The following is a 19,355-nucleotide window of genomic DNA, read 5'->3' as shown; positions in this document are numbered from 1 at the left end:
AGGCCCCACGCAGGGTGGGCAGGTAATAAGTACCCACCAAGAGGGTTAACTTAATGGAAACACAGATATACACCAGTCTATGTGCAAATATAAACATCTACAAGGGAATGGGCTGATGATGACATTCATTCACTCATTTATTCATTCGCCCATTACTGACAGGTACCTGGACCTATCTAAGTCTTGGGAATATTGAAAGGAATATATGTTTGTTTTTGATGCCAGTTTAAACGTATCTATAATGCAGTATGATAAGAGCTCTACTAGAGACTCATTGAAGGTGTTATGGGAACACACAGGCAGGGCCCAGGCTATCCTGGAGTAGGTGATATTTGAGCAAGACCTGGATTCCTCTGCGCTTGTCTCCAGTTCTGCACTTCAAAGTTGTTCTGAGTTTATCGGCTTTTGTGCTAGTGTCTTTTTAGAGAAGGGACCCTGTCTTAGCAATCCTTGAATCCCTATCATTTAAAGTAGTGCCTGGCATGCGGGGTAACTTGTTTGGAACATGCACATAGGATAAATGAATAGTAAGCACTTTCTAGGCAAGGAAAGTGGAGCGGGGCACACCTGTGGAAGGGCAGCATGGAGAGGAGGAAGAATGCAGGGCTGCAGGTAAGGACAGGTACTAAGTGCCCCAAGGGCAGGGGCGAAAGGAAACGTGGCCAGTGCCGGAGTGAAGACGAGCTAAGCACACAGACCAGCTCCCAGGGGCACAGTAGGGTTACAGATTCTGCTACCTCCAGGAACAAGGCAGACAACAGAAATGAGGACAGGAGGAAGACATGAGACCATAGGGAGTGTGGGGCCCATGGAGAACTGAAAAGCACATGACCCTCCAACAGCACTGAAATGCAACATTAAAAGCACACCATTGGCACTCACCTGGAGTCTCAGCTGCTCGGAAGGCTAAGGCGGAAGGATTGCTTGAGCCCAGGAGTTTGAGGCTACAGTGAGCCACGATGGCACCACTGCACTCCAGCCTGAGCAACAGAGCGAGACTCTGTGTCTAAAAAAAATAAATAAATAAAGTAAGTGCTGTTAGCCAATCAAAATATTTGGGACATTGGGTGAGGTGCCAACTCTTCTTTCTCCCTGCTTAGTGCTGTACTGAGGGTTGTGCGGTACTGTGGAAAAAGTCCTGCCTGGAGTTTCTGGAGAACCAGAAGCAAATGTCAGATGCACTGCTCACTTGCTGGGGGAGCTTGGCCAAAGCTCTTTCCCTCTATGTGCTTCAGTTTACTCATCTATTTGCTTGCCTGTTCTGCCCACTTGCCAAGTTGGTTGAGGTGATGGATGCTCAGTGCCCTCTAGATACTAAAGCTCAGGTACCTGAGGGGCTTTCTTCCTGAGAATTAAGCCAGGCGAAGTCTGGGCTCCCCATGGAAAGAGGTGGTCAGTAGGGGACAGACAGCCTTACAGCAGATCTCCTGCAATGTCTCGCAGGAGACAGGGCTCTGTTAGAGCAGGAGATGCCCCTAACTTGAGCAGAAAAGGGGACTTTATGCAGCTGGAGGGACTGGGGCACAGAGAGTGGCTGGAGTGGCCCTAGAGGAGATTCTGGAAGAGCCAGAGCTGCTAAGAGAGGATGGTAGTAGGGGGTGGGGGGCGGGGCAGGGGACACTCCCATTAGCAGGTGGCTGAAGGCTTCACCTGAAGCGTGATTTCCTGGGACATGGCCAAAGCAGGAGCAGCATCTGAAAGAGGATGGGCAGAGGGTGGTCAGAATGATCTGAGACAGGCCAGGTGAAGGGTGGCCAGAATGATGGCCTCCGCAGGCCTGGTACAAAGGGTTGGGTTGGAATTATCAACTCTATGGCTACTCACAGCCAGACCCAGAGGCCCCATGCACTCCTCCTCCCCGAGGTCCGGGCCCAGGGCTTGTTCTTTCCCCATCCAGGGCCCTGCCTGGTTCTCGATGGGGCCTGGAGGGACTCCTAGCACAGCCCTAGGACTGTCTGTGGGCACTGTTAGGTGGGTGTTATTATGGGATTCCCCTGCCCCCAGGGAAAGCCAAGGATCTTGGGTGATGTCTGCTGAGAGGGCCCTGGCAACCCTAATTTCCAGGCCTCTCATTGTGCTGGTCCAAAGAAAGAAAAGGACTTGCTTAGGGTCTCCCATCTCCTTAGAGTTGGAGTCTCTTGGGCTTTGGTTGGGCTGGAACTCTCTGTTTAACTCTCAAGTGTTCAGGAGTGGAGGATTCAGAGCATTGCAGGGCTGAAAGGGAACTTAAAACTGATTAAGTCTATCTCTGTTCCTCCCAGCACTCCCATTGGAGATCGGCTTTTCTTCTTCTCTGTAGTTTAAAACTCCCCACTGCCAGGCTCAAGCCTGAGGTGACCTTCCCCACTGGAAGAGTTTGGGAAAGCAGGCGAGGCCTCAGAGTCACCACAATTAGCTTGCTGGAGACTCCTAGCCCCATGTGGCAGGACACTGTCCTGTCTGCCCCGGTATCTGTAGCACTGCAGAAGTGCCTGGTGCATGGAAGGTGCTCCGGGATAGTGTTGAATGAATGAGGCAATGGGTTAGAGCCCCAGGGAGAGATAGTGCACAGCCTGGCAGCTCAGCCTCCAGAGACCAAGGGGCACTGAGATAAATGCTTCAGAGCACCAGTCCTGAGGCAGCAGGAGCCTGGGTGCTGGGACCACCCTTGTGTCTGGGCTGGATCCAATCCTGCCCTCAGGGAATGCACTGTGAAATGGGGAGGGCAGGCAGAGAAGAGGAGCAGAGCCCTGTGATCCTGTGTGGTTGGGGAACCCGTGGCTGCCCTGGTAGCCAGGCATTGAGCCTCTGGCTGGGCGAGCTTTCTGTGCCCCCACCCTGGGTCGGTGCTTCCTTCTTCCCCTTGTCTGGCTCAGACAGCACCTCTTCTGGGAAGTCCTCCATTATCCACTTTTGAATTCACTCTCCTTTGGCCCAGCTCTGCTCCTCCTGTTCCCATTCAGTGGGACTTAGTGGCTTCATATTTACTGAGCACCTACTGGGTTCAAGGCCTTATGCTTGGGCAGGTGTTTCTTGGGTGAATGTCTGACCTGTCAGCACGTGAGACCACTTTCCCTCTCTTTCCTGGGAAGCGCAGATGGGGCACTCAAGGACTGCTCAGTGTCCCTTGGCCCCGTCCTCTGGTGGCGCAGGGCCCTGGCTTGCAGCAGGAGGCCCATCCTGCTCCAATAAGGTGCTTTTGAGTGTGCACCAGATACCGTTCTTGACCCTGGGTATGCACCCCGTCATTTCATTCTCCCCCGTCCTTTGATGTGAGGTACTCTCTTCATTCTTCCCAGATAAACATGTGACAGTAGAGGCTCAGTGGCCCAGAAAGGCCCAGACATGTGCCAAAGGTCACAGAGCCCTGGCCCGGCCCTAAGATGCTGGGTGGCACGGACAGTGTGTTTGGTTAAGGAGGAGCCTGTATCTCATCGACCCCCTCCCCTCATCAAAACCCAACTGCTAAAAGAGGCCCTGCCTGGAGGCCTGGGGACTTGCTGAGGTCCTGAAGGAGCTCTCTGGGGGAGGTTTCTGGGTAGCTCTCCCTCGTTGAGGACGGGTCAGGGAGGGGCCTCTTGTTCACACTGCTCTCCCCTCATGGCCTGTGTGTGGGTCAAACTGTCATCTGGTTTCCACACACTCCAAGGTCAGGGGTCAGGCTTTCATCACCTGCTGGAACAAGTGGGGCCTGGGCATGCAGTAGGTGCTTACTAAAAGCATGTGTCTTGACTGTGTTTTTTGTGAAGGTTGTCAACTCCCAAACAACACCACTTGCACTTTGCACTAGGGCCATGTCTATTCTGATCAACACCAGCCTGGCCTGGGGGAAGGCAGAAGGCTGAGGGGCTGTGTCTCAGCACTGCCACACCACTGGTGGTGGGGGTTTGTCTCTGGGGTCCTCTGATGCCTCATCTGTTCCTGGAAGAATGAGAGTTGCCTTTCGGGATGTGGTGAACACACAGGCATCTCTGTTTGTGCCTCAGCTCTGGCTGACTGCCCAAGGCTGAGAACCAAGCAGGCGAGGCCAAGAAACCATCTATTCCAAACGGGGCTCTAGACTTGCTCGGCTGGGCTTTAATGGAGGTGGTGGCTGCTGGTTTTGTGACCCTTAGCTCAATGCTCATTGCCACAAAGGGATCAGAGAGAGGCCAAGATAAGCTTCCTCTGGGGCAGCAGGGGCTGCTGGGCGTTGGTTCCCCTCTCACCTCTTGCCTTGTGGGAGAAGCTTATAAGGAAGGTTTGGCAAGGGTATATTTAGGTTTGGCAAACACAATGTCCATTGTCTGCCCCATGCCCAGGAAGTCTGAAGCAGAGCAGCTGGGGCTGGAAGGGGCTGAGGCAGCAGAGGGGACAGTGAGGGGGGAACAGAGGCTGCCAGCAAGGGTGCAGGTGAGATGGCCTGTGTCTTAGAGGCTGACTGTGTAACTCCCCAAAGGGAGCAGGGGCAGGGGGCAATACGGCCTCAAAAGGACCCCCGGATGCCTCAGAACTGCGGAAGTACCTGGAGGTGAACATCTGTTTCATCCAGCAGGTGATGAAACAGAACTGAGATGATAGAGTGTCCAGCGTGGGACTCGCCAAGAACCCATAACGGCGCCACAAGAGAAAGCCCGGTTATCCACGAACCTTAGAGAAGGGACGGTGCCAGGTCCCAGCTCCCTGCTGCAGGAGGCTGTACATTCTGTCCTGGATCCCCTCTCTCCCTGGGCCTCCCTGTGAAGGGTCAGAATCCAAAGGGATGTGTTGGAGGAGGAGGGCAGAAGTCAGGAGAGCAGAACTGGGCTGCCCCTGTTTCTCAAGGCAGTGGCATCCCAGCCAAACCGGTGGCAGGAACAGGCTGGAAGTGGGCTGAGAGTGGGCTCTTACCTGGACTGGACATTTTTTATTATTGAAAGAAGATTCGTTTTGCTTACTCGAGTGACCAGATGACTTTTTATCACAGAAGAGTGATAGGAAAAAGGGATGGAACCTGTCAAGAGTTTGTTCAGCTCAGGAAAAGAACCATATATGCCAAGTGGGTTTTCATTTTGATTTTTTGTGCATCACGAGTTTTTTGCATAAATGTTGCTTTTGAAAAATATTGCATTAAAATATTATTTATTTTTATTACTGAGGTTTTTTGATGCTTTCTTAAATTATGTGCCCAAGATGAGTGCTTCCCTTGCCTCACCCTGCTCCCCACCCTGGTGGGGAGAAGAAAGCAGGTCATTGCCAGCTTGCACCCTATCAAATTGAGCAGGTTCACTATGGCACTTAACAAGTGGAAGGGCTCTTGCATGCTGTGTGGCAAAATGGTGGCAGTAGTAATGATGATGATGGTGACAGTGAATGCTTACATGGTGCTGGGCACTGTTCTAGCTCAAATCATCCAATCCTTATGACTACTCCATGTGGAGGATGCCATCTTGTCTCCATTTTACAGAAAAGAGAAGTGAGGCTGAGAGAGGTTAAGCAATCTGCCCAAAGCCACAGAGCAGATATGTGGCAGAGCTGGGATTTGAACCTAGGGAGTCTGGCTCCAGTGTCCATGCTCTTTCTAATCTGCTATACACAACCACCTCCCTAGTAGATAGCATCATCATTAAGTGTTACCAGATTCTGTCTGTGCTTCAAATCAGAGGACAGGCTCCACCGCAGGGGCTTCCCCAGTTTGTTCTCTTTGAAAATTGATGGTTGAAACCCACCTTGGACCCAGAGCCTGGTTTATCCCCCAGCACCCTGCTGCTTGGGTACAGTGTGACTCTGTGACACATGATGTCCAGCCCTTGGCTCTACCTCCTGGTCCCTGCAGGTCCTCTCCCTTGGCCTGCAGAGGGTGGGCCTTGGAGCTGGAGACCAGGGCAGTGGCGCACAGATGAGAGAGTGATGTCCAAGCCAGGCTGATTTGCAGATGGAAATTTACATACATAATGTAATTTGGACCAATTGAATTGTCGATTAAGATGGAATCGCTTGACAAGCAACATGCACTCTGGCGGGTGACCGAGGAGATGAGAGGCCCTTGAGATGCCTGTAGCAAAAACATGCTTTTGTTTTTAAAGGAGATGGCCATTTTCAAATTCCACATTTTAACAACCTTTCTTCTCAGCCCCCTTCCCTGCAGGTCACAGCTGTGATTTGCTGAGATGAAAAACTTTATGGGCAATTAACATTAAAATCCAAGGCACAGTGAGCAGGCTCCCGGGTGCAGCTGGAGAGGCAAGGGGCCAGGACACCTCCCAGGACTGGACAGGGATCCAGAGGCTGTGGGCCTGGGCCTTGGGTCTGAGCCATCCAATCCCACACCTACAACAAGCGAGGAAGTGGTGCTGGGTACATGTTGAGTTCGTGGGGGAGGAGAGCAAAGAGGCTCCCTTGGGGTCATGTGGTCTGGATTTGAACCTGGATACCTGCTTCCTGGAAGCATGACCTTGGGTGCCTGGCTGCACCTCTCTGAGCCTCAATTTCCATATCCATAAAATGGGGAGAATGTTCTGCCATTACCTGTGATGACAGATAGGGAAGAAATGTGATAACCTGGAGGCCTAGCGGGAGAGGGGATCCAGGGCAACATGTACAGCCTCCTGCAGCAGGGAGGTGGGACCTGGCATTGTCCCTTCTCTCAGGTTGGTGGGTAACTGGGCTTTCTCTTGTGGTGCTGTCATGGGTTCTTGGTGAGTCCTCTGCTGGAAACTCTATTAAAGGATGCTCCACCTTCAACATCCTTGCACAATGTTCACCATAGTGATGAAGGGTAACTAAAACATTGCCTCTGTGCCCCAAACAGTCTGTCTTATTCATTCTTCTCAGGTCTATTAAAGTACTAAATTCCTTGCTGCCCCAGGGCATTGACACAGACTCTTCTGCCCCAAATTCTCTTCTTTCCATTTGTATGCACCTTTGCCTGGTAGACCTCTTCTCTTCCCTCAAACTTCAGCCTCAATTCACCTTCCCCGAGACTCCTGTGTATCTGCATTCCAGTCCATGTCTCCTTTTTTATGTTCTCAATATCCTGGACCTTTCCTCCTTACGCAGTCGTAATTTCATGTTGTTGTAATTATTCATGTCACATCAGCGTCTATACCCAACTTTGAAGTCCGTCGCAGTGGGGTTTGTCTTGTTTGCTGCTGATCCCCAATACCTGGTACAAAATAGGAATTCAAAAAATAGGTGTATATTTGCAAAACACACTCTCTCCCTCTTTACCTGGCAAGTTCTTGCTAATCCTTTAATTCTTGGTGTATGTGTCACTTCCTCCAGGAAGCCTTCTCAGATGCCCTTCCTGCAAGTTAGGTGCCTTTGCCACGTGGCAGTTACACAGGCCCCAGAATTTGCCTTCCCAGGGAATGGTCCCTGGATTGTCACTGTTCATTTACTGGGTTCTGTCCTTATCAGACAGTTTCTAAGGTTGGGGCTGGAGTCCTGTTCCCTGGGGCATCCCTGGCACCTAACTCAGGGCATGGTATACAGTTTATTATGGAATAAACACATCACAGGGCACCCCATATGGGCACAGAGAGCCCAGGCTGCCCCACATGGTGGCTGTGGATGGAGAAGAGCTGACTCAGGGGCTAAAGGAAGGGACTGATGGATACTGCCCAGAGATGGGGCAGGGCCCTCTAAACTTGTACAGGACCTCTGGGCGTGGCCACTAAGCACAGGAAAGACCAGTGCCAAATGAATCAGGGCTACCCACAGCCAGGGAAGGGAGAGTGCTAGAGTTCATGCAGGTTTCATGGAGGAAGCCGACTGAGATGAAGGCTGGGGTGAGGGGTGGTGTTGGGATGGACTGGTATGCTAGAGGGTGGGCACTGACAGGGTTAAAGAGGAGTTTTGGGGGGTGTAGCTGGGAGCCCCTCGCCCTTCCCAGGATTGGCCACCATGGGGTACCACCTGGGTGCCCTTGTCTCATTGGGTCACAGGGCCTGCATGCTTTCTAGCTCTGTCTTCAAAGTGAGGGGCAGCAGCTGGTGGTGGTGGCAGCCTGCCCACCTGCTCCTTCTCACTCCCGAGGCTGTGGCTGCCTGGCTCTGGCTCCACTCTTGTGTTGAGAGAGAAGGGTACTCACAGGACAGGGATGCTGTCACTGGCTTAGTGCCAGCAGTCTGTCAGTCCCACACTCAGTACATTTCCCTCTGCACTGGGCCCTCCCATGAGGGGCCCGGGCAGATGCATGGTGCTCTTGGGCTCCCATCAGGCTGCCCTGGCCCTATCATGCCTTGGGCTCCAGCTGCAGCACCTGGGGCTGCCTTGTCCCAGTGCCCTCACTGCATGTTCTCCTCATTCTCTGCAGGGAAAAGGGTCTTCATGGTCCCGAAGGACAGAAAGATCTTGCATATAGTAGGCACCTAATGAATGTGTGTAGACACCCTGTTTGGAATCCTGAAGCTGTCATCCCTCCCACTTGCTTTCCTGTCCGTCTGAATGGATTCACGTTGACCTGTAAGCCCATTTATGAACGTAATCAAAGTTATCAATAGCAAAGGGTAGAGAGCAGCACCCTGGGGACCTCCAGAGATACTTTCTTCTGGGTCACCATGAACCCACATTCTGCAGAACTTGGGAATGTCATAGGTTCTTGGATAATAAGTTGTACCCAACTATGTGGTCATAGAGTCCACGTCTTTCTGCCATTTCCAGAATAAATTGTGGCAGAGCTTTGGCAACACCTTTCAGGAATCTCAGGTCCTCTTGGCTATCTCTTCTCTCCCAGGGCCACCTGCTACCTTCCGTGTGTCCACATGCAGTGTTCCCTAGAGCTGCTCACATGTGCCACCTCCTCTGTGGAGACTGGGTGCACACTGATGTGGAACAGACATCCTGGCCTGTTCCTAGCGGGTATGTCTGGGGAAAAGGGCAAAGGAAGGGGGCAGAGGAAGGGTCCCTGGGATATTCTGGTCTGTCTGCTTCCCAGCCTGACCTTCCTGCTCACCCCAAAGTGCCCTCCCCTTCTTCCCATTCTCCCCACCCTACTCTCGCAAGGCTGTGGGCTCCCCCTAATCAAGCAAGGCAATCTGTGGACTCAACATCTGCTGACCTGTGTCACAGTGAGGGCTGCCACCTTGCTCCCCTTGGACCTGGGTTTGTCCTGCCCCATCTTTGGGCCTCAGCCCCATGTTATAAAATGAAATGCCCTGGAGTCAATGACATCTAAAGGGACGTGCAGATTTTACATGCTGTGTGCCCATTAAAATTACATTCTCAGCCCACTCAGCTGCGCACGGTAGGACATTAGGAAAGTCCCTTGTTCTCTGTTGTTTAGAGTCCTCAACTCTCAAGTCATGGGGTTGTGGGGGATTAGGTGCAACAAGCTTCCAGGGCTCCTTTCACCATTCCTTTTTAGGATTCTATGAGTCCTAATGCCAGTGACTTAAAAAAAAAACGATTTAAAGAAAAATTTGCGAACATCACCATGTTGTAATATTCAATTTCTCAGAGCCGATCAGGAATGGAAAATGTGAGACACCTCAAGGTGGTGGGTGTGTGTATGTTTCTTTTTTCCTTTTTTTACACTCCAGTGAATCAATCTTTACAGAGAGTATGAAATGAAATTCTGCCACCTTGCAGTAAAATTAGAGCTGGCATTGCTGTCAAAAAAAAAAAAAAGTCAAAAAGGCAGCCTCAAAAAAATTATGACCAGCTACCTGCTGGATCCACCCTGCTGAGGAGGCTCCTTGTGACACAGTTTACGATCTGGAGGATTACTGTGGTCTTGATGCTATCATCTTAATTGCAGGAGCAGAGCAGGGCTGCAGCCTGTGGTCCCTGAGCCCCGGTGCTCTGGCCACATGGCGCGCCTAGTTCTCAATCTGATAAATTCTTTTCACTGATTCTGCCTGCTCCAAATTACTTTGTGGGGGCTGCAGACTTCCGGGCCACTACTGATTTTTCTGCTTCCTTCCTAAAATGAGGTTGTGGAAGCCCCAAGAAGAGGTAGCGGGAGGGAGAGGGCCACTTACTCTTCCACTCAGAGTTCCTTCCCTAGATGGCAGGAGATCACCAGAGAGGACACCCCGTGTTTCTGGGCCACGAGCTGGTGAGACACAGGATGGAGTCTGTGTATTTAGAGATCATTGGCAAGGCTAAGACTTGGGCCTCAGCCTTGAGACCAAGGGGGCCACCAGCATCTCGGGAGCCCAGCATCCCTGGGCTGGAAGGGATGGATAGGGGCTCGGGCTCTAAACCTCACTAGGCACACGTGATGGGTCTCCACTCTGGGTTTAGTGTATGCTGCTCAACATTGCTTGGAGGAGGGGAAGCTGGGGAGCACTTGTCTCGTAACCAGACTTCTAGGTCCTAGCCCAGTTCCCCAACTTATTTGCTCTGTGACCTTCCTCGGGAAATGAACCTGTCCTCTTTAGATCTTAGTTTGCCATTTGTAAATTCTGGGGCTTTGGATTAGAGCTGGGGTTGCAAACTAGTGGCCCTGAGATTTGGCCTGCTAAGGTTGTTTTGTTTGGCCCGAATAGTGCTTTCAAACCAGGACATTTTATGTTTAAAAAAATCCAAAATGTTGGCTTCTCTTTAAAAATCAGAAGACTCAGAAAAAAATAGTCTCATATTCTCATGTGGCAAAAAGTGGCTGAATCTGGAAACTTACAAGCTAATTTAAAAATTTATCAGTCAATTAGTCAGAATTCTAAAATTCAGAGTCAAGAGACTCAGAATAACCAAAGCAATCTTGAAGGAGAACAAAGTCAGATTTCAAAAGTTGCTACAAAGCTACAGTAATCAAAACAGTGCAGTACTGGCATAGAATTAGGACCGAGAGTCCAGAAATAAATGTTCACCTTTACGGTCATGGGTGCCATTTTCAACAAGGGGACCAGGATAACAAAATGGGGAAAGAGTAGTCATTTCAACAAATGGTGATGAGACAACTGATTTCCACATGCAAAAGGATGAATTTTTACCTCTACCTCCCACCACATATAAACATTAATTCAATTGGCTGGGCGCGGTGGCTCACGCTTGTAATCCCAGCACTTTGGGAGGCCAAGGCGGGTGAATCGTCTGAGGTGGGGAGTTTGAGACCAGCCTGACCAACATGGAGAAACCCCATCTCTACTAAAAATACAAAATTACCTGCGTGTGGTGGCGCATACCTGTAATCCCAGCTACTTGGGAGGCTGAGGCAGGAGAATCTCTTTAACCCAGGAGGCAGACGTCGTGGTAGGCTGAGATCATGCCATTGCACTCCAGCCTGGGCAACAAAAGCAAAACTCTGTCTCAAAAAAAAATTTTTCAAAATTGATCAAAGACCTAAATGTAAGAGCTAGAACTATCAAACTCTTGGAGAAAACATAGGTGTAAAACCTTCATGATCTCATATTTGGCAAAGTTTCTTAGATATGACACCAAAAGGACAAGTGACAAAAAAAGGAAGTTTATCAAAATTAGAAAATTTTATGCTGCAAATGATAACCATCAAGACAGTGAAAAGAAGACAAACAGAATGAAAAAAAATATTTGCAAATCGTATAGGATTGGTAAGGAGCTTGTCTTTAGACTATATAAAGAAGTCTTACAACTCAATAATAAAAAGATAACCCAGTTAAAAATGGGCAAAGGATCTAAATGGACGTTTCTCCAAAGAAGATACACACACGGCCAATAAGTACATGAAAAAATCCTCAACATCTTTAATCATCAGGGAAATGCAAATCAAAACTACAAAGAGCATTTCACACCCACTAGGATGGCTATAGTAAAAAAGACAGACAGACATCCTCATTGACAAAGATATATAGAGATTGAAGCCTTCCTTCATTGCTGATGAGAATGTAAAATGGTGCAGCCAGTTTGGAAAGCAGCGGAATTCCTCAAAATATTCAATATAGAATTCCAATATGATCAAGCAATTCCTCTCCTAGGTATGTAAGCAAGAGAAGTGAAAACATATCCACACAAAACCTTATGCACAGCAGCATCATGCATAGCAGCATTATTTGCCATAGCCAAACAAGTAGAAGCAATGCAAAAGCCATCAAATGGTGAATGAATGCATAAAATGTGGAATATCAACACAATGGAATATTATTTGGTAACGAAAGCAATGAATTTCTGATACATGCTACTACATGAATGGACCTTGAAAACATCATAGTAAGTCAAAGAAGCCAGTCACCATATATTGTACAGTTTCATTTATGTGAAGTGGCCGGAATAGGCAAATCTATAGAGAAATAGATTGGTGGTTGCTCAGGGCCAGGGGCAGAGGAAGGGGTGGTGAGGAGATGGACAGTGACTGCTAATAGGCATGGGGTTTCCTTTGCGGTGACAAAAGTGTTCTAAAATTGAACTGTGGTGAATGTCATGCCGCTGTGTGAATGTGCTAAGCAACATTGAATTGGACACTAAATGAGTGAGCTCTATGGCATGTGAATTACACCTCAATCAAACTACTGTGAAAGAAGTGGCAGGTCCTGGGGAGGGGCATCTCCTTTAGATGGGCCAAGTGCTCCTGGACCACCAAAGTCCCTACCTGGCTTTTCACCTGCTAAAGTTACCTGCCTGGTCCTTGTCAATGCCTGAGTTTGCAAACCTGGGATTAGAGGCTCACTGAGGACACTTCTTGGTCCTCTTTCCCAAAGATCTATGAAAGCCATTTTCTTTCCTCCTAAGAACAATCACCCTTGCTGCTGCTCACCTGCTATGCAAACTTGGATCCTTCCCTTCTCAGGGTCTCAGTTTCCCCAAGGGTGCAGGGAAGTTCTTGGACTGCCTGTCACTTAAAGCCCTTATAACCCTGGCCTTCTCTTTGGTTTGAGCCCAAGAGCTCCTGGCCCCCACTACCCCTTTTCCACCCTGTCTTTGCTAACTAAAAGCCTCCGCGGGCTTTGGTGGGTACTGTGGGGTGGGAGGGGCCTGGGGTTGGGGGTCAGCATGCATGTCACCTGCCTGAGAGGCCAGCTAGGTGACTGAGGGCATTCTGAGGGCACTATCCCACTTGGCCAGGTCCCATTCAGAGCAGAGCACTCCTTGGGAGCCAACCAGTTTCTCCCTGGCTACAGGGCCAAGCTGGCCCCACTCCATGAGCCGGGCCTTGTCACAAGATAGGGCACAGCTGTGAGGCCACTGGTGCAGCCAGCTGGGCTTCTTGGAGCAGAGCAGAGAGGCACCAGAGAGCTGAACCCTCCCCAGCAGGGAAGAGGACAGGGAAGGCAGCATCCTGCTCCCCACTGTGTTTCAAAGGACTTGAAAAGCCAAGTTGTGGGTGAATGGGAGGGAGCAAAGTAAAGCCACTCCATGAGCAAAGCTCTTACTGTGTGCAGCACTGTTCAAAGTACTTTCCTCCTCTGTCCTAACCTCAAGAGGAAAGTGCAGTTATGATTGTTGCTTTTCTTATGATCCCTGCCTCACAGGGTAGAACACAGAGGGGCATAGTAGTTGGGGATCTTTCCCAGGCTTCTCTCCAGGAAAGTGGCAGCGCTTGGATCTAGAGTCCACACTCCCTACCGCCCCACGGACTGAGGATTTTATTCAAACTTTCCCACTCACTTCTCCCCATCCCCTGCATTCAGAGGCTGGAGTGGCCAGGGATGGGTTTGTTTTCCAGTGGATCCATCTGGGGGAGATTCTTGAGGGAAGGAGATGGTCAGAGGGCTTGGTTTCCTGCTGAGACCAAGACCCCTTCAACTGAACACACTGTTGGCAAGCCCACCCTTGCGGGGTGACGCAGACGCTGCACCCAGGCAGTCTCAACTGTGCCATTTACTGTCTGAGGAACCTTGGGCAGGCTGCTTCACCCTTCTGACCCTGACCTTTCTTGTTGTAGTGATGCTTATCCATGGAGCAGTGAGGGTTAAATGCAATAATGTTTGCAAACCAAGTTCCCTGCAGCCCCTGGTAGTCAGAAAGCCCTTAACGCAGACAACAATCATAACAATGGCTATGGCTAGCATTTTACATGATGGTAAAATGCACAGGGAGCTGTCACTAAGACTGTGCTCCTGGTAGCACAAGACTGAAGAGACCCAGTCTTTGTCTTCACTGAGGAGTGGAAGGAATGAGCCCCTGTGGGCTGGCCCGCCGCTAGTTCAGCTGGAACATGGAATTCACCTGCCTGCCTCATCTCCCACTGCACCTTGGCTTCCTCTGCGCTGGTGTGTTCCCGCCCTGCACATGTGTTCCTGCCTCCCCACCTGTGTTTATGCTATTTTCCTTCCCCTCCCCTGGAGGGTCTTCCCTTCCTCACACTCCTAATGAGACACTTGTCTACAGCATCAGCAGTTGGGCTGATGGGCTCCACTGCACCATGGTTCGTAGCCTGTGTGTGTGTGTGTGTGTGTGTGTGTGTGTGTGTGTGTGTGTAAATGAGAGGGAATACTTGTCTGGGGGTAAATGAGAGGGAATACTATGGGCTGGAGGATCGAGTTGATTTAGGAGTAAACAAAGTCTCGCAAGGCATTCTCTAGGCCACAAACCCAGATGCCTAGAGGGGTCAAGCAGAGTTTTGCTATTAGCAAGGCAGGGAGGATAAGACACACAATAGGGAGTAGAGGGGCCTGTGGCAAAATAGAGGGCACAGACCCTGCCTAAAAGAGCAACTGCCACTATTTCCAGTTGATCCCCTGTGAGAAAGTGCCTCCAGAAAGGCTTGATATTTTAAATTTTCAGGAGGAAATGGAAATCTCTATTTCTATATAAAATGCACTGGTTTTTAAAAGCATTGCACAGGCCAAATAGAACTGTGCAATGCCTTAAAATTTTCACATGCAGGTCTAGGCTGCGGGCCATCAGTTTGAGGCCTCTCCTCTAGGTGGGAGCCAATAGGCCACTGGGCCCAGGGAGCTGTGAGGATAATGGGCCCAAGCCAAAGGCATCAGCCTGGCCAATCTGGGCATCACCTGAGCTTCCCTATGGGATCCTCTTTGAGGAGGAGTGGGGAGGAATGGGGAAGGAAGGAAGGAGGAGTGAGGAGGAATGGGATGAAAGGAGGATGGTAGGTAAAAGGGAGGCCAGGGGAAAGTCCCAGACATGGTAGGTCTTGAGAGAGGGGAGAAAGATGGAGGAAATGTTGAAATGGAATGGGACGATGTGAAGTTGAGAAAGAACACTGAACTAGGAGTCAAGGGGTCTGAAGCCCTCCCTTGGTTGAACCCCAGATCTGGGGACACAGAGGTAGGTAAGCACATTTCCAGTCCTGTGGAGGGCGCAGTCTTTCATGGTAGAAACAAACATGGAAACAAATACTTACTTGTACAGACAGTCCCTGTCTTATGGTGGTTTGACTTAGATATCTCCACTTTGCAATGGTGCAAAACTAATATACATTCAGGAGACGGCAGCACGATACTTTCTTTTTTTAAAAAAAATTTTATTATTATACTTGAAGTTTTAGGGTACATGTGCACAACCTGCAGGTTTGTTACATATGTATACATGTGCCATGTTGGTGTGCTGCACCCATTAACTCGTCATTTGGCATTAGGTATATCTCCTAATGCTATCCCTCCCCCCTCCCCACACCCCACAACAGGCCCCGGTGTGTGATGTTCCCCTTCCTAAGTCCATGTGTTCTCATTGTTCAATTCCCACCTATAAGTGAGAACAAGCAGCATGATATTTTCTCGCGATGCTCAGCAGTGACAGTGCACTGTAGCTCCATCACTCACGTGATCACCAGAGTCAACAACTCCCACTGTACAGTGTACTGTGTTGCACAATGATTTTGCCCAACTGAGAGCTAATGTAACTGTTCTGAGCATGTTTAAGTTAGGCTAGGCTAAGCTATGTAAGATGTTCAGCAGGTTGAGGATTGTAAGTTGCATGGGCAACTTACAATATTTTCAACTTATGATGGGCTTATCAAGATGTAACCCCTTTGTAAGTCAAGGAACATCTATATATGTGTACTATCCCAGTTATCAAACTGTACCTAATGGTTGCCCACCCAGGAGGAAGACAGCTATGCTGCCTAGAGGCTGGGTTGGCAGAAGGCTCACAGGAGAGGAAGAAGAGGGGACATCTGAGCTGGCTGTAGGGGAATCAAGGGGATGCTGTCATCTAGACAAAGGGTAGTAGTGGGGGAGGGGATATTTTAGGTCTCAAGCTGTGGCCTGTGAGGTCAGAGTCTTCTGGAGTAGGGGTAGACTTTGTCCAGAGCCTGTGTAGTGTGTGGGGTGGTGGTAAGAGTGGAGAGAAAAATGGAGAGATAGGAGTAAAAAAAAAAAAAGACTTGAATAAGATCGTGAGTCACCTCAATATTGAGTAAGGGGCTTATCAGTAAAATCACAATGGTGGGAAAGAGCCGTGGCAGGCTTTGAAGTCAGAAAGAGCTACGATATATTCATTCATCTATTCACTCATTCATTCATCAAATACATATTGAGCACTGAAGATCCTGCAAGGAGCAAAGCATATCTCCTGCCCTCATGAAACTTGTGGTCTGGGGCAGGGGAGACCAGAATTTATGAAAGAACCACATGGATAAGTCCATCAGTTAAGACCATGATCAGAGTGGTGAAGGAGAAGCCAGGATGCTGACTGAGAGCTTGAGAGTGAAGAGGAAGGGGAAACAGAGGAGGTTGGAAACCAGGCTGTAGGAATTCGGCCATGTGGATGAATTGGGAGCTTATCCCAGCTGCCCAAAGCCTCTGGACTGCTTTAGTCGGGGTAGGGCTCAGCCTCTGCCTTGCTGTGGACCTTGGGCAGTGCCTCCTGCTGGCTCAGTCTTGAATTTCTCATCTGTACAATAAATAGGCAGGACAAGGCCACCTCCAAGGCCCATGCAACTCCTCCAATTTCCTCCCTCCTCCCTGCTGTCCTTGCAGCCTGTCATTTTAGAAGGGTCAGCAGAGTCAGTCTTAATTTCACATGGTGTTTCCTCCCACGTGTCTTCCCGCCTTCCTCCTCAGAAGCTCCCCCTAGCCTCCTGGCCACCTTTGTCCTTCATCAGCTGAGCCTGGTGAGGGGTGGGGGGCTACTGACATTGAGGGGCCTTCCTGATTGTGAAGGCACAGGGTCCTGCTGATGAAGCCCCCACTCCTTGAAGGCTGTGTGTTTGGGGGGGCCCAGGGAGGCCAAGTCTTGGCTGTGGCCTGGGACCCCTGCCGGGCATCGAGGGTCAGGCTATATGAACTGATGTGGTGTGAGCCTTGTGTGATGGCCAGAGCACCGGGTCCTGGACCCCAGTCTTGGCTCTGCCCTTAACTTGCTGTGTGTCACCTGGGCAGTCACACTCATTTCGGCTTCTGTTTCCTGACTTGTAAGATGAAGTGGTTGTTCCGGAGAAGTCATTTGATCAGCAATGTAGAGCTCTTTTTTTTTTTCCAAGGAAAACCTTACATATAATCCTGATATACAAACTAGATAAAAATGGAGTTGCTTATCATGGTGGGTGAGGGTCTGGGGACCTGCCCCCTTCACTGGTCTGACCCAGGGTTCCCTGGGATGGATAAGTTAGGCTGGATGGTCTCAGGGTTCCCTGACATGTTGGAATCCTGGAGCTGGAGGAGGCTTCTGCAACTGTTTCAGGGCAGAGAATGATGGGTGGGTGAGGCTGGGGATAGCCCATCCTGGTGCCCACTGGTACCCGCCCCTCCTGCTGTTGGTCCAGGGCACACAGTTTGGAGCAGCCTCTGGGGATAAGGAAGGACCTCTCTCCCACTCATATGTGCCTGTGGCTCTGGGAGGAGTGTCTGGTCTGTTGGGCCCAGTCCTTGTCACTGATCTCCAGGGCTCTTCCTTTTCAGAGGCATCGGGATCCTGCTCTCTGTCCTCCACCCCCAGCTTGATGGAATGCAGAAGGGGAGGGGAGAGGAGGGCAGTGGAGCTGAGGCTGAGGCAACATCTTGAATTATTTTGCAAACATGTTGGGTCCACCAAAGCCCAGCACACATCTTGTCCCCGGCACCCTCTCCCTGGATGTGTGAGCCCATATGTTCCTGGGCAAATGTGCTCCATCTGCCTGGGCTGCATTTGCAATTAGCTCATCAGGATGCTGTTCTCTAATAGCCCTTTGATGTCCAACGAGCCTCCTAAGCCTGTGTGTTGCCTTCCCTTTGAAGCAGGACATCATGTTTTGCCAGAAGTCAATGAAACGCCCTAGTAGAACAGAACAGTTTAATTCCCTCCTCAGATACAAGGCTGAGAAAGTTCAAACAGGCTTCCGCCCGTGCCTGCTGTCCCAATCGGCCTGCAAGATGCCCATATTGGAGGCCTGGTAAGGCCATGGCCCCTGGGGCTGGGCCTTCTGAGGAAGCTCTGGCCTCCTCCACCAGGGAACATGCCCAAACCGCCTGGTAGCTATCACCTGGCCTTGTATCCTCGGCCTCCTCTGACTGAATTTGGATTTGTCCATGACCCTGATTCCTGAACTGGCTCTCACCTTGACTTGCTGTTTCCCTGGACCTGGAACTGGCATCAGGCTCTGGCCCAGCCCGGGCTCCTCACTCAAGTCCTGTGTCTCATGCAACTCAGCTTGGCTTGCTTTGGGCTTCAGAGCTCCCATCTCAGCATTGACAGCTCATGGCAACCCCACCCATTGTGTGTCCAGGGAGTATTCCCCCAGGGCTGGCTGGGGGCCGCAGGGTCAAGCCTGACCTGAATGACCTGGTCACCAGGCACTGGTTCTCATACTAGCATGAGCACCTGCTGATCGCCTGATCTGAATCCATCTGCTGTCTCAGGAATTTCAGAGCCTTGCAAACTTCCCTTCCCTGGTGATTTTTGGGAGTTGCTAAGGGTGTGGTTCCTTCATGCATTTTCGATGCAGCTGTCTTTGTTGCTCACTAGAGCTGCTAACAAACCCAGTACTAGGGACCCCTGGCTATACCAATGTCCACTGTATAGGGCCAGACCAGTATTACTGGCTAGTGCTGCCTCCTAAAAGTAAGGCATGCCCAAGCACAATGCAGCAAGCTGTTCTTGGTCTCCCAGCCAATGTGCCAGGCTGCTCCATCACCCACTGCTTGGATGAGAGCTGAGTGGACTAAGCTACCAACCTGGAGATGCAGACCCTGGCATATGCCTTGTGTAATTAGATGGTGCATATTTCCTGACTCAGAGTCACGTTGGTGTAAGGGTGGAGAGTTCCATAACCCAGTTATTTGGGTCCCAGTGAGTTATTCTTTTTTGTTTGTTTGTTTGTTTGAGACAGAGTCTTGCTCTGTCATCCAGTCTGGAGCGCAGTGGAGTTCCAGATGGATTCAGGCTCACTGCAATCTCTGCCTTCCGGGTTTGCCTCAGCCTCCTGAGTAGCTGGGATTACAGGCGCCTGCCATGGTGCCCAGCTAATTTTTGTATTTTTAGTAGAGACAGTTTTCACCATGTTGGCCAGGCTGGTCTCGAACTCCTGGCCTCAAGTGATCCACCCACCTCGGCCTCCCAAAGTGCTGGGATTACAGGCATGAGCCACTGTGCCCAGCTGAGTTATTCTTTTGTTGATTCAT

The 19,355-nt window shown here is 50.3% G+C and overlaps 2 annotated features.

Annotated features, from left to right (window-relative positions):
* Positions 8,953 to 9,459: an enhancer, noted in NCBI's record as "NANOG hESC enhancer chr10:80619958-80620464 (GRCh37/hg19 assembly coordinates)". NCBI's record gives its function as "activates a minimal SCP1, AML or CMV promoter by ChIP-STARR-seq in naive H9 embryonic stem cells {active_cell/tissue: H9 hESC(naive)}" and the evidence as "EXISTENCE:reporter gene assay evidence [ECO:0000049][PMID:30033119]".
* Positions 17,631 to 18,218: an enhancer, noted in NCBI's record as "H3K27ac-H3K4me1 hESC enhancer chr10:80611199-80611786 (GRCh37/hg19 assembly coordinates)". NCBI's record gives its function as "activates a minimal SCP1, AML or CMV promoter by ChIP-STARR-seq in naive H9 embryonic stem cells {active_cell/tissue: H9 hESC(naive)}" and the evidence as "EXISTENCE:reporter gene assay evidence [ECO:0000049][PMID:30033119]".

The sequence above is a fragment of the Homo sapiens genome, chromosome 10, assembly GCF_000001405.40.
Source record: "Homo sapiens chromosome 10, GRCh38.p14 Primary Assembly".
Classification (NCBI taxonomy): domain Eukaryota; kingdom Metazoa; phylum Chordata; class Mammalia; order Primates; family Hominidae; genus Homo; species Homo sapiens.
This window is presented reverse-complemented; position numbering and strand designations above follow the sequence as displayed.